The sequence below is a fragment of the Homo sapiens genome, chromosome 19 (assembly GCF_000001405.40).
Source record: "Homo sapiens chromosome 19, GRCh38.p14 Primary Assembly".
Taxonomy (NCBI): domain Eukaryota; kingdom Metazoa; phylum Chordata; class Mammalia; order Primates; family Hominidae; genus Homo; species Homo sapiens.
The window spans coordinates 56341792-56354472 of record NC_000019.10 but is presented as its reverse complement, the minus strand read 5'-3'; the positions used below and the strand labels follow the sequence as shown (position 1 = coordinate 56354472).

The 12681-nt window shown below is 41.3% G+C and overlaps 1 protein-coding gene and 1 pseudogene across 1 annotated transcript in view; both read left to right on the top strand.

Moving 5' to 3' along the window:
* Window positions 1-12681, top strand: part of ZSCAN5A (zinc finger and SCAN domain containing 5A) — a 146976-nt gene that overhangs the window by 13806 nt on the left and 120489 nt on the right. The window lies entirely within an intron of this gene.
* NDUFAF1P1 (NDUFAF1 pseudogene 1) lies at window positions 10749-12134 on the top strand (annotated as a pseudogene).

Below are 12681 nucleotides of genomic sequence, written 5' to 3'. Positions count from 1 at the left end.
CCCTGCCCATCAATCCAACTGGTGTTTTCATTCCTCATCTTAGTCTTAAGTGCATTCAACTGATGCTTTATTCTAGAGGTACTCTGTTCCTTTCACCTTTATGTGGCCATCTTTACCCTGTTTTGTCATAATACTCTTTTAAAAAACCAACTTTTAAAATGTTAAATTGTGGTAAAATACAAACAAACAATTGACTGGCTTAACCATTTGTAAGTGTCCGGTTCAGTAAATATGCACATTATCATGCAACCATCACCACCATCCATCTCCAGAATGTTTTTCTCTTTGCAAAATTGAAACTCTGTAAACATTAAAAAGCAACTCTTTTTATTCTCTTCCCATCAGCTCCTCGCAACCACCACACTACTTTCCCTCTCTATGAATATTTCTATACCAGGTACCTCCTATGACTGGATCACACAGTATTTATCCTTTCATGCCTGACTTTTACATAGTATAGTGCCCTCAAGGTCCATCCATGTGGTACCATGTATTAGAACTTCCTCTCTTTTAAGGGCGACTAATATTCCATTGTTTGTATAGAGTACATTCTGTTTATCTGTTCATCTGTCGATGGACATGTGGGCTGCTTCCACCTTTGGGCTGTTGGATGCCCTAATATTCTTGCTCCCACTGCTCAATATCATTTTATTTATTTATTTATTTATTTTTTATTTTATTTTTATTTTTTGAGACAGAGTCTCGCTCTGTCACCCAGGCTGGAGTGCAGTGGCACGATCTCGGTTCACTGCAAGCTCTGCCTCCCGGGTTCATGCCATTCTCCTGCCTCAGCCTTCCGAGTAGCTGGGACTACAGGTGCCTGCCACCACGCGCAGCTAATTTTTTGTATTTTTTTTTAGTAGAGACGGGGTTTCACCGCCGTTAGCCAGGATGGTCTCGATCTCCTGACCTCCTGACCTCCTGATTCGCCCGCCTCGGCCTCCCAAAATGCTGGGATTACAGGCGTGAGCCACCGCGCCCGGCCTCAATATCATTTTAAAAAGAGCAAAACTGTCATGTGCAGCCAACATGGAGGGAGGGAACTGGAAGAAATTATGTTAAGTGAAATAAGCTCAGCCCAGTAAAACAATGGCACCAAATAGTCTTAATGCACAGAATAGACCATTGAACCACTGCACACATGCACTTGCTAAATATTACAATATTTTCACTCCCATTTTCCCACCTTTCATATTCTTTCTCTAGTTACACTGTAGTATCCGTTACACTCGATAATCCCAGCTTCCCTGTATGTGCTTCTCCACCAGCGATCTCTGCCTCAATGCATGACACCAACACATGTCTACTATTCTTTGCCTGAAACCTCAGGCATATGTATGTGCCTTCTCCTCATCCATGCGGTTCTCAGCTGGGGTAAACTGTGTCCACCTCAAGGGAAAATTAACAGTGACTGCAGACATTTTGAGTTATCACACTTGAGTATGCTACTGACTCCAGTGGGCAGGGGCCAGGGATGCAGCTAAACATCCTACAATGCACAGGACAGCCCTCTTCCCCCTGAAAATGTATTATGTGGCCCACAATGTCTGTAGTGTAATAGATCGAAACACTGCCATCTGGCAAAGACCTTCTCCTCGACCAGACTTGACTTGGGCTTCCCTGAGTCCTCTTCCTGACTAGGCCTGGACTTTGGACATCTGTGTTGAAACTGTGTTGCACCCAGTTTCAACAAGGGTAATGAGAATCCCCCCATCCTTGATACCTGATCAGATTTCCCATGTTCCACTCTTAATGTCTAAATCTTTGGCCTGCCTTTAGCAAGGATTCTGCTCCTGATACCTAATCAAGTTGTTCTTTGTAATTTCCCACCCACTGACCGCCTTACTTTGATAATTGTCTACAAAAAACCAACTATCATTGCTATATTCAGAGTTGGGTCTCTCTCCCCTGTTGCAATTGTCTTGAATATTCTTCCTCACCATTTACCCAAGTGTCAGAATATTTTTTCTTTTACATCTAACAGTCTCACATTCACGCTCAGCATCTAAGGATAAATGTTTATTTTTTCACCGAAATTCTTTCAATAATCAGTCCCTTCTAACCATCCTGCATGATCACTTAAATCTGCCTTAGCTTCTGTGGGATCTCATGTCTCTCTCTGTCTCTACAGTGCCCCAGTAATCACATTCATTTGCATTATGTTTAATTGTCTGGTTTAATCCGTCTCTCTGAGTAGAAGCTTTGTTAAAACACCACACTATCGGCGCCTGTAGTCCCAGCTACTTGGGAGGCTGAGGCAGGAGAATGGCGTGAATCCAGGAGGCGGAGCTTGCAGTGAGCTGAGATCGTGCCACTGCACTCCAGCCTGGGTGACAGAGCGAGATTCCGTCTCAAAAACAAAGAAACAAACAAACAAAAAAACCCCACACTATCCACCAAAGCATACCCAAGCGCAGGGCATAAAGAAGGCACTCCATCAGTATCTTCACCGCATCCCTTCCTGAGTTTCGGGTCCCACTTCCCTACCTGACTTTGGGTAAGAAAGTGTAATGACATCTTCATCCCGCAACACAATTTCATCTTGCAAACGTCTCAGGTCTGTAAAATTATTGCTGGGAAAAGGAATCCCTTCAATCCAGATAGATCCACCAGCCATCTAAAGAAACACCACAGTCTTCCCAGGTTCGTATTCGCTGCACCTGTGCAATCTTAGCGGCACCACTTTTCTTGTTCTGCGACAGGTTAAGATGCAAAGGATGGAGACATTGGGACAGAGCAGCCCAAGTTCATTTTGATACAGCTCCGATGACTGGACGATTACCAGGCTTTTTGGTCTGGTGCTGATAGGATTAACGACATGGACACATGTGGAGTAGTTTTAAGGAGTGAAAAGTTTAATAGCAAGTAAGAAGGAAGAAAGAAGAGAACAGCTCCCCCGTACTGAGACATGGGAAAGGAACAGAGATAGACCCTGTGCGCAACAGAAAGACAGTCCCTTATATCTGGAGGCTGGAGGAGGCAGTATCTGGTTTGCATAGGGCCCAAAGGATTGGCTTGACCAGGTGTGTTATTCATGTAGCCTGGGAGAAACCAGGCCCTCCCGCCATAGCCTTTTAATATGCAAATGTGGGTTGCCATGATGGTTTGAACACATGGTGTTACTTGGAGGTGGCCTTCACACTTTGCACAGGTGGTAACAAGGAGAAGACGGTGGGAATCACCATGTTGAGTGGACCCAGTTTCTAGTGGCCAGCATTTGCATATCAAAGCTTGTCAGCCCGGCCCTTGAAGCCGCCTTTTTGGTTAGAAAAGAGATTGCTTGGTTAGAAAAGAGATTTCTTATTACAGGAAAATTTTCACCAAGAACCTTTACCCTTACTGTATGCCTAAAATGATTTCTTAATAACTCCTGTAATATCCCCCCCTCAAAGAGAAGTAAACCTAACTGCTGTTAGGGGGTGTTAGATGATGATTCTTTCTGGGTACTGTCTGCTGAAAAGGGGCGTGTGGTTGGGGGGGGACAGCAATTGGGCCTTCTCCTGTGGTTGATCTGAGGTTCTCAGAAGAATGGCATGTCTGTGTGTGGCTCAGCTCACAGCACCATTTAAAGTTTAATTGCTTCTATTAAACTTTATTTAATGTTTTATTAAATAAAACATTATTTAATAAAATATTAAAATATTAAACTTTATTTGATTTAAGGTGAAAAAATATAAATTTTACAAGAAGATTTAAAATGTAGGGTTAGGATACAATTATTAAAATTACCACCGTTAGTGGGGGGCCCTGTTAGACCATAACTGACAGTAGAGTTTGACACCTTTTAGTTACACCAATGGATTGCAATACTGGCTTGCCTCCACTAGATGTCGGTGTACATTACCAGAAACGTTAATATAGCGGTAACTTTTTCCTAGAGAAAAGCGGACATTTCCCCCTTAATCTGCCGTTAGAGAATAACTTTAGGCCTAGGCCATTTTTACAACTTGCAATATGATTGGGAGAAAGACATTATTGGGTGGCTAAAATAACTTTAGCGTTAATTTTGACAATTCCTTTCCTTTAATTACTAAATTCTTTTATGACTTTTATAAACCTTCTTACAACACCTTTACACTTTTTGATTTGTCCTAAACATCCTTTCTTTAAACAACCGGTTATTTCCCTTTAGTACAAGAATTTACCATACAAAATCCTTCCGTACATAAAATCTCTTCCTTTATAACCTTTTCATAGTGTGTATTATATTACCAACCTTTAGTAAAAAGTCTTTTCAAACTTAGTGATGGTATAACTTTCATGCTTCTTATCCATAACTATTAGTCCTGCTATAAGCAAAACAACCTTGACTAAATTTTTCCTGCAATTATTAATCCTGTTATAAGGATGATAATCTGGCAAAATATTACAGCAATTAGAATTTTACAACCAGAATTCCACATTGTGAGTGCCACAGCGTTTAGTTCTATTGCAAATAGTAGCTTGACTAGAACAATTTTCACAAGAGTGGCATAGTAAATAATTTTCATTTAAAACTTTACTTGCCAAGACATAACATGTCCCTTTGGGGATTTACAAAGTTACAAATATGATTCTATGAATAATTAAATCTCTCTGCAAATATGCATTAAAAAGAAGTTCTAATATTTGGCAGTGAACTTTGAGAGGAAAGTTTAGAAATAATAAAAAGTATTTGATAAGGTAGGAGTGGGACTGAGTAAGATGCGTAGCCCTCACTCAGTTACTTATCTTTTATGATTTTCAGCTTAAGATCTTCTACTTTTTTTTTTTTTTTTTTTTTTTTTTTGAGACGGAGTTTTGTTCTGTCGCCCAGGCTGGAGTGCAGTGGTGTGATCTTGGCTAACTGCAACCTCCACCTCCCGGGTTCAAGCGATTCTCCTGCCTCAGCCTCCTGAGTAGCTGGGACTACAGGCGCCCACCACTGCACCCGGCTAATTTGAATTAGTTTTTGTATTTTTAGTAGAAACAGGGTTTCACCATGTTAGCCACGCTGGTCTCGATCTCCTGACCTCGTAATCCGCCCGTCTCGGCCTCCCAAAGTGCTGGGATTACAGGCGTGAGCCACCGCGCTCGGCCAAGATCTTCTATTTCTTCACACTGATATTGAGGACATTCCTCTGGACCGTCAGGGGTTGCTTCCTCAGCTTTGCAGGCTTTGGCTTGATCGTGATGTATTCACAAGTTGATTCCTGTAACTTTTACTGCCCAAGGGGGTTGAGAGAACAACAGTGTAGGGCCCTTCCTAGCTTGGCTTAGGGAAGGTGACAGAGGTGAGAGTTTTACTAATACCAAATTTCTTGGGTTAAATAGAGGTGGTTCCTGCTGGAAGTGAGCTAGAGAGGTTACATGCTTAACCAATTTAGAGGTTTCCTGCCTGAAAACAATTTCTGAGCACATGGATAAGTTTTATCCTTTCCCAAGTGAAAAGCTTGGTGAAGGATTTTAAGAACTTTTCATTGGCTGGAGGCTGGCAAATAGAGTTTGCCATCCTGACTGTAGCCATCCTGAGGGCTGAAAAGTATGCCCTAGAGAAGTAGTCTATTCTATTTTTGTAGGGGAATACTGAGGTTTAATTTCTCTTACAGAGTCTTTTTAGATTAGAAGGGGCTTGAAGTGTGTTAATACCTCGAAGCTTTCATGCCTTTGACTTAGCTGCCTGATCAGCTAATTTATTTCTTTCGGCTACCTTGTTTCCTTTTAATGTTCCTTAAAATGCATCCTTGCTATTTTTTTGTGGAAGAAAAACTGAGGATAATAACCTGCTAATTTCCTGGTGATATTTTATAGGAGATCCATTAGTGGTAAGAAAATGTGTTTCCTTTTAAATGGCCCCAGCATGAGCATGGAGAGCTATGAAAGCATACTTGGAGTTAGTGTAAATGTTAGCTGCCTTTCCCTTGCTTAATTTAGGTGCTCTTGTAAGAGCTATTAGCTCAGCTAATTGAGCGTTTGTGCCTGGGGAGAGTGACTACTGCTTATCCTGCCTTATGTACATCTTGCTTTACTGGCTGTCAGCTAAGAGCTCCCCCTAGAGGACCGTGATTCTGCTACATTATGTGGGCTGTAAACAGTTAAATTATTTCCTAGGGTTAACTTGGAGGCTTTTCTGACTAGTAGAGCTATCATGACAATGGCTTGCAAGCGTGTGTCAACTAAGGTTGAGAAAAAGATTGGATTAGCCTTTTTCCTGAGATGCCCCTTACGGTCATGCTCTGGGGAGAGGGGAGATCTGGATTAGAGAGGAGAAGACAGAGAGAGACTAGCTCTAGTGTTTGGAAGGAGGTTTACTTTCCTTCCTTTAATTTCCAGAATCATCCAGAGCTCCTGTGCTATAATGGCAGTTTGAACCGCTGGAGCCGAGATTTGAGCCCCGGGACCCATCAGTCCTGCTGGACCGTCTGTGAAACTGGTCCTGAACCCAGTGACCTCCGCCTCTGGGGGCAATTCCATCTCCAGTGGTTTTTGCCACAGGCTGGACAGGGTCGAAGTTGCTTCGTCTTGCTGCCTGGGCAATCCTTAAAATGCCCTGGCCTGCCACATCAATAGCAACTAGCAGATGCACCTTGGGGATTCTGGATGTTGCAAGCCTGCAAAGCTGCTGCTAGAGCCTCTGTCCGTCTCCCGAGCTTGCTCTCTTTCTTTTGGGCATCCTCCTCCTGGTCCATATTATTAAAGACCGAAGTGGCCACTTTCAGGAGGCTCTCTAAGGTGCTGTCTGGTCCTGTACCTTGGTTTTGTAGTTTCCTTCTACTATCAGGAGCTGCCTTGTGTAATAAACTTGTCCTTCAGGATGAGCTGTTCCTCAACTGAATTACGGGATAAGGAGGTATACTCTATTAGTGCCTTTCCATAAAGGCTACAGGAGTCTTATCTGGCTTTTGGTCCATTATAGACAGTTTAGAGTATGATACCTTGTTTTAACCTGAATTGACTCTCCCTTAGCTGAGAGAGCCAGACAGACACCATCTTGGCTCCTTCACTTACAGCCCCTTACTCACCCCCTTCCTCAAGGACTTAACTTGTGCAAGCTGACTCCCAGCACATCCAAGAGTGCAATTAACTGATAAGATACTGTGGCAAGCTATATCTGCAGTTCCTAGGAATTTGCCCAGTTGATAGCACCCAGAGCCCCCCGCGTTTGTGTCCGGTTGATAACACCCAAAGCCCCGCGCCTATCACCTTGTGATGGATTTAAAACCCCTGCACCTGGAACCGTTTGCTTTCCTGTAACCATTTATCCTTTTTACTTTTTGCCTGCTTTATTTCTGTAAGATTGTTTTAACTAGACTCCCCCCACTCCCCTTTCTAAACCAAAGTATAAAAGAAAATCTAACCCCTTCTTCAGGGCCGAGAGAATCTTGAGCACTAGCCGTCTCTCGGTCTCTGGCTAATAAAGGACTCCTGAATTTGTCTCAGCGTGTGGCGTTTCTCTGTAACTTGCTCGGTTACAACAAGAATAATTGAGGCTGGGCACAGTGGCTCACGCCTGTAATCCCAGCACTTTGATAGGCCGAGGCAGGCGGATAACGAGGTCAAGGGATCGAGACCATCCTGGCTAACGCGGTGAAACCCCATCTCTACTAAAAATACAAAAAATTGGCCGGGCATGGTAGCAGGTGCCTGTAGTCCCAGCTACTCGGGAGGCCGAGGCAGGAGAATGGCGTGAACCCAGGAGAATGGCGTGAACCCAGGAGGTGGAGCTTGCAGTGAGCAGAGATGGCACCACTACACTCCAGCCTGGGCGACAGAGCGAGACTCCGTCTAAAAAAAAAATAAAAAATAAAAAAAAGTAATAGAGAGGTTGGCCTTGGTTTTCTAAAATGCATATTACAAAGTGCTTTATCTTCCGCTTATCCCCCTGAGCTAATGGGGTACCATTAGGACCCAAAATTCCGTTGATATCTAAAGTTTATTTTGCTGTACAACTCTGGTTTTTGTGGGTTCTTTTTTTCTTTTTTTTTTTTCTAGAGTTTTACTTGCTTCTAACACAAAAAAGGCCAGGTTTTCCTTCAGGCAACTCCTTTATGGAGTTTGAGCTTGCCTTCAACAGGAAAGATGAGGTTTTTTGCCCTGCTCCCCTAATGGTAGAGAGCAGGCTTCAACCTGTGACCCATGATCCCTAGATAAGTAACTGAGTTGGGGATTGTCTTGGCCAAAGAGAAGAGTAGCAACCAGCTGGTCTTCATTTCTTGTTACCATCAGAGCACTCCATAATCATATAAGTTGTGTGATCATTTGTTTTGCTTAAATGTTTTTTGTTGTTGTTGTTTGTTTCTGTTTTCGTTGCTGTTTTGCTTTTTTTCCCCATTGGGTTTTATCAACTCTACCTTTTTTTTTTTTTAATTGAGCAAAGGTTTTTTCTTCTCAGCTGACTGACTTCTGTTTTCTTCTTTTACTTCTGCTGTCTCTCCTTTCTCTTGCACCCTCTGCTGCATGAGGAACGTGACATAGTTTATCATAGTCTGAGGTTCCTTAAAGAAAATGGAGAAGGTGCAACTCCCTTGGGGTAGACACCTGTTTTTCCTTATCAAACCCCAAGAGTGTAAACAGAAAAGTTCATCTCAGCTCTTAAACTGCTTGCTTTTGTATTGTGTTACCTGATTTATTGACTAAAATAGTTATCACAACAAAGTCTACTCTTTGGGTTTTAAAGAAGTGTATAGTTTAGACAGTTAGAAATGTCATTGTTTACAAAATTTTTTTTCTAAGTGCACTGTAAAAACATCACATGGTCTAGCCTCATAATAATTCTCCCTTTTTGGAAACACAGCATTCAGTGTGGGTTTCTGCCCAGAGCTCAGAGAGCCAGTTAAAGGATAGATAATCCCTATCTAAATAAAATTGGTCTCCTTATACCATTCTATGATAAATTTTTATAATTTTATGTTTGATTTGGCATCCCTCTTTAATCTCCTTCTAGCACACCAGACTCTTTCTTTCCATACTTTATAATGCAAATTTTTCTATTTGATTTTCACCTGAGTTGTTTCCTTTAATATGCAAATTTAAGGCTATTTCACTGACAACTGCCTAGAGTTGTGAAACAGGTTACCAAGAATCTGAAAATCCATGATAGCAAAAAAGAAGGTTTTTGTGAATTGGTGAAGATGTACTTCTTTCCGCATGTCTAATATATCTTGTGTATTTATGTGTTATGTAAACAATGTTTCACTAATGAAAATATATAAAAGAGCTCTGATTAATTGGCTTAAAAAGTGTACATCAAATTATCAGAAAAAGAAAAGACTACTCAAATGCTTTTTCAAGTTTATGTGACTTCAGTAAAATCTTTAATAAACAAGCTAGCTTTAAAATTATTATTAAAGTAATATTAGAAATGTCTTAAGAATTGCCAGCATACATTTTTGTTTGCATTTTTTTTTTTGAGATGTAGTCTCGCTCTGTTGCCCAGGCTGGATTTGTAGTGGCGTGTTCTCTGCTCAGTGCAAGCTCCGCCTCCTGGGTTCACACCATTCTCCTGCCTCGGCCTCCCGAGTAGCTGGGACTACAGGTGCCTGCCAACACGCCTGGCTAATTTTTTGTATCTTTTTTTTCTTTTTTTTTTTTTTTTTTTTTTTTTTGAGACGGAGTCTCGCTCTGTCGCCCAGGCCGGACTGCGGACTGCAGTGGCGCAATCTCGGCTCACTGCAAGCTCCGCTTCCCGGGTTCACGCCATTCTCCTGCCTCAGCCTCCCGAGTAGCTGGGACTACAGGCGCCCGCCACCGCGCCCGGCTAATTTTTTGTATTTTTAGTAGAGACGGGGTTTCACCTTGTTAGCCAGGATGGTCTCGATCTCCTGACCTCATGATCCACCCGCCTCGGCCTCCCAAAGTGCTGGGATTACAGGCGTGAGCCACTGCGCCCGGCCGTATCTTTTTTTTAATAGAGACGGGGTTTCTCCGTGTTAGCCAGGATGGTCTCGATCTCCTGACCTGGTGATCCGCCCACCTTGGCCTCCCAAAGTGCTGGGATTACAGGCGTGAGCCACCATGCCTGGCCCTTTGTTTGCATTTATGGATCAAACAATTTCATACTTATCCCTGCCAAATACTATAAGGTGTCAAAACTTGACATAGGGGTTGCAAAAGCATAAACACAGCCAAAACAGAATGACCTTTGCTTGTGTAATCTTTAATAAATAAGACATTGATATTGGTTTAATAAAAATAGCTCTATCTTGAATTTAGTAACATTACCGTAACTTCTAATCTTGTGGCTTTAGGTGGTCTAGTCCACAGGCAGTAAGGAAGTTGGTTTTGGGAAAGGACTGTTATCATCTTCGTTTCAAAGCTAAATATAAAGTGAGTTCCTCCCAAAGTTTGTTTGGCCTATGCCCAGGAATGAACAAGGACAGTGTGGAGGTTAGAGTCAAGATGGAGTCAGTTAGGTCAGATCTTTGTTATTGTCTCAGTTATGGTGGTTTCATAATTTTAAATGATGCCTATCACAGTTTCATAAACAATGTAGGTAAGTGATTAACATAAGATAATTAGGTAAATGTAATGGGATGAATACTTGTAGATAAAATTGTCATAATTTAAAATCTAAATTACTATTAAATAATAGATATTTTATTATTTGGGTATTTTTCAACAAAATATATTGTAGGAAAACATTCTTTCTAAAAACAGGTGTGTGCTTTTTAAAAAGGTATACACTCTTTTGTCTAATTCAAAGCTTATGTAAAGGTTTTATATAAAACAAGGTAAAAGGAACCAGGAAATAAGAGAGATATAAAGAAAGTTAAAGAAATAAAGAGGTTTTTCTCTCCAGCGTGGGGAACGTCCAGCCTGTGGAAGTCAGGCAGTGAGTGCCGGAGGCAAACCCCGAGGCAGAAGAGTTTTACTACTCACTACCTGTGTGACCTTCTGTAAATTAGTCTTGGAACATCCATTTCCTCATCTCTATAATTGAAATGATAATAGTACCTCTCTCAGGGTTGTTGTGAGCCGTCAATGAAAATACACTTAGAGCAGCTTCTGGCATTTGGTAGAATTGGGCTATTTGCTGAAGCTTCTTGGTAGCCCTTGGTAGCCCAGGAAGAAACTTACATTTTGATTTTTTCGTACCATGGCTTTGGTTCACAAATTGCTGCATGGCACTTATATTCTCAGAAAATGCTCTAAGACAACTGCTACCTTGCATTCATTTTTGGGTATTCACTTTGCACACCACTCCAGTAGTCTTCAGAAACTAGTGGCTTCTCCTGGCAAAGCCTCCTCACAGAGGAATACTGAAGGGGGTTGCCAAGGACATCACCAGAAAGAAGTTGCTTTGGATATAACTTCTCCTGAGGAGAAACCTGAAGTTAGTTTCAATAAAGCAATTAGAGATGAAATAAAGGACCATTTTAGGCATTTGAAGGATGAAATTGTGGATCATTGGATAGGACCCGAAGGCCGCCCTCTGCATGAGGTCTTGCTGGAACAAGCCAAGGTTGTCTGACAGTTCTGGGGGAAAGAAGACTTGGATAAGTAGATAGTGACTTCTGAAAAGACGATTGGAGGCAGAAGTGAAGTATTTTTGAAAATGGGCAAGAATAACCAAAGTGCACTGCTATATGGAACTCTGAGCTCTGAGGTGCCTCAGGATGGGGAGACTACCTGAAGTGGGTACTGTGCAATGATATCCAGGATTCCAGGGGGTGCTTTTGAGAGGAAGATGTCTTAGGAAAATGTCTTATGATTGGTCCCAGTTCAGTACTCTGTATCTCCGTGTATGTGGGGATGGTTGGCCTTGGATGATGAATATCAGGGAGGACACAGATATAATCCAGAGGAAAAACAGATGTATAGTTACTTCATGTTCACCCGTGGGGACTCCTACTGGCAGGAGGTCAAGATCCCTTTTTCCAAATTTTTTTCCCTAATCAAGGAAGAGTGCAGGATGTTCAGAGTCAGCTTCTGCTTGACAAGATCTCTTCTATAGCATTCACCTTGGCTGATAAAGTGGGTGGTCCATTCTTCCTGGAGATAGATTTTATTGGAGTGCTTACTGTTCCAGCCCACACAGAATTTGCCTATGAAAATTCTCCAGAGCTTAACCCAAGAATTTAAAAATAAAGATCATGTGGTAGTTTTCTTTTACTAAACTAAGGGTACTAGTATCTACAATGATATAAACAAAATAAAATATTTATTTAAGGGCATCCCCCAAAAAAAAGAAAGAGGTTTTTTTTTTGTAAGACAGCTTAAAGAGAAATAATTTTATATGAGAAAGAATCTTGTATGGTAAATTTAGTCCTAGAATAAAATGACTAGTTGTTTAAGAAAAAGTGATATTTAGAACAAACCAGAAAATCCAAGCATGTCATGAATGGTCTGTATAAGTCACTATAAGAAGATTATTAAATAAGCAAATCAAAAACTTTTATGTGATTAAGTTGTCTATAAAGAGAAATGATAGTAGTGTTTCTGTAGATTGGGTTTGATGTAAGAAAACACTTATACACTAAAGAATTGGTTAGAACAATGAAATTTTCTTAAGGGGTTGATTTACTCAATAAATTATAAGATATTTTATTTTTTAATTTTTAACCCAAAATTCAACTTTTATTGCATCTCACGGGTTTTGGTTTTCTCTCCCTTTTTAAAAGGCACAAAATAGTAACACTCTCCTTCAACTCATTTTCAGGTCATATAAGTTTGTTTTCCTTGGGTTCCAGTTTTTTGTTGTTGTTGTTGCCTGATGCTAACAGT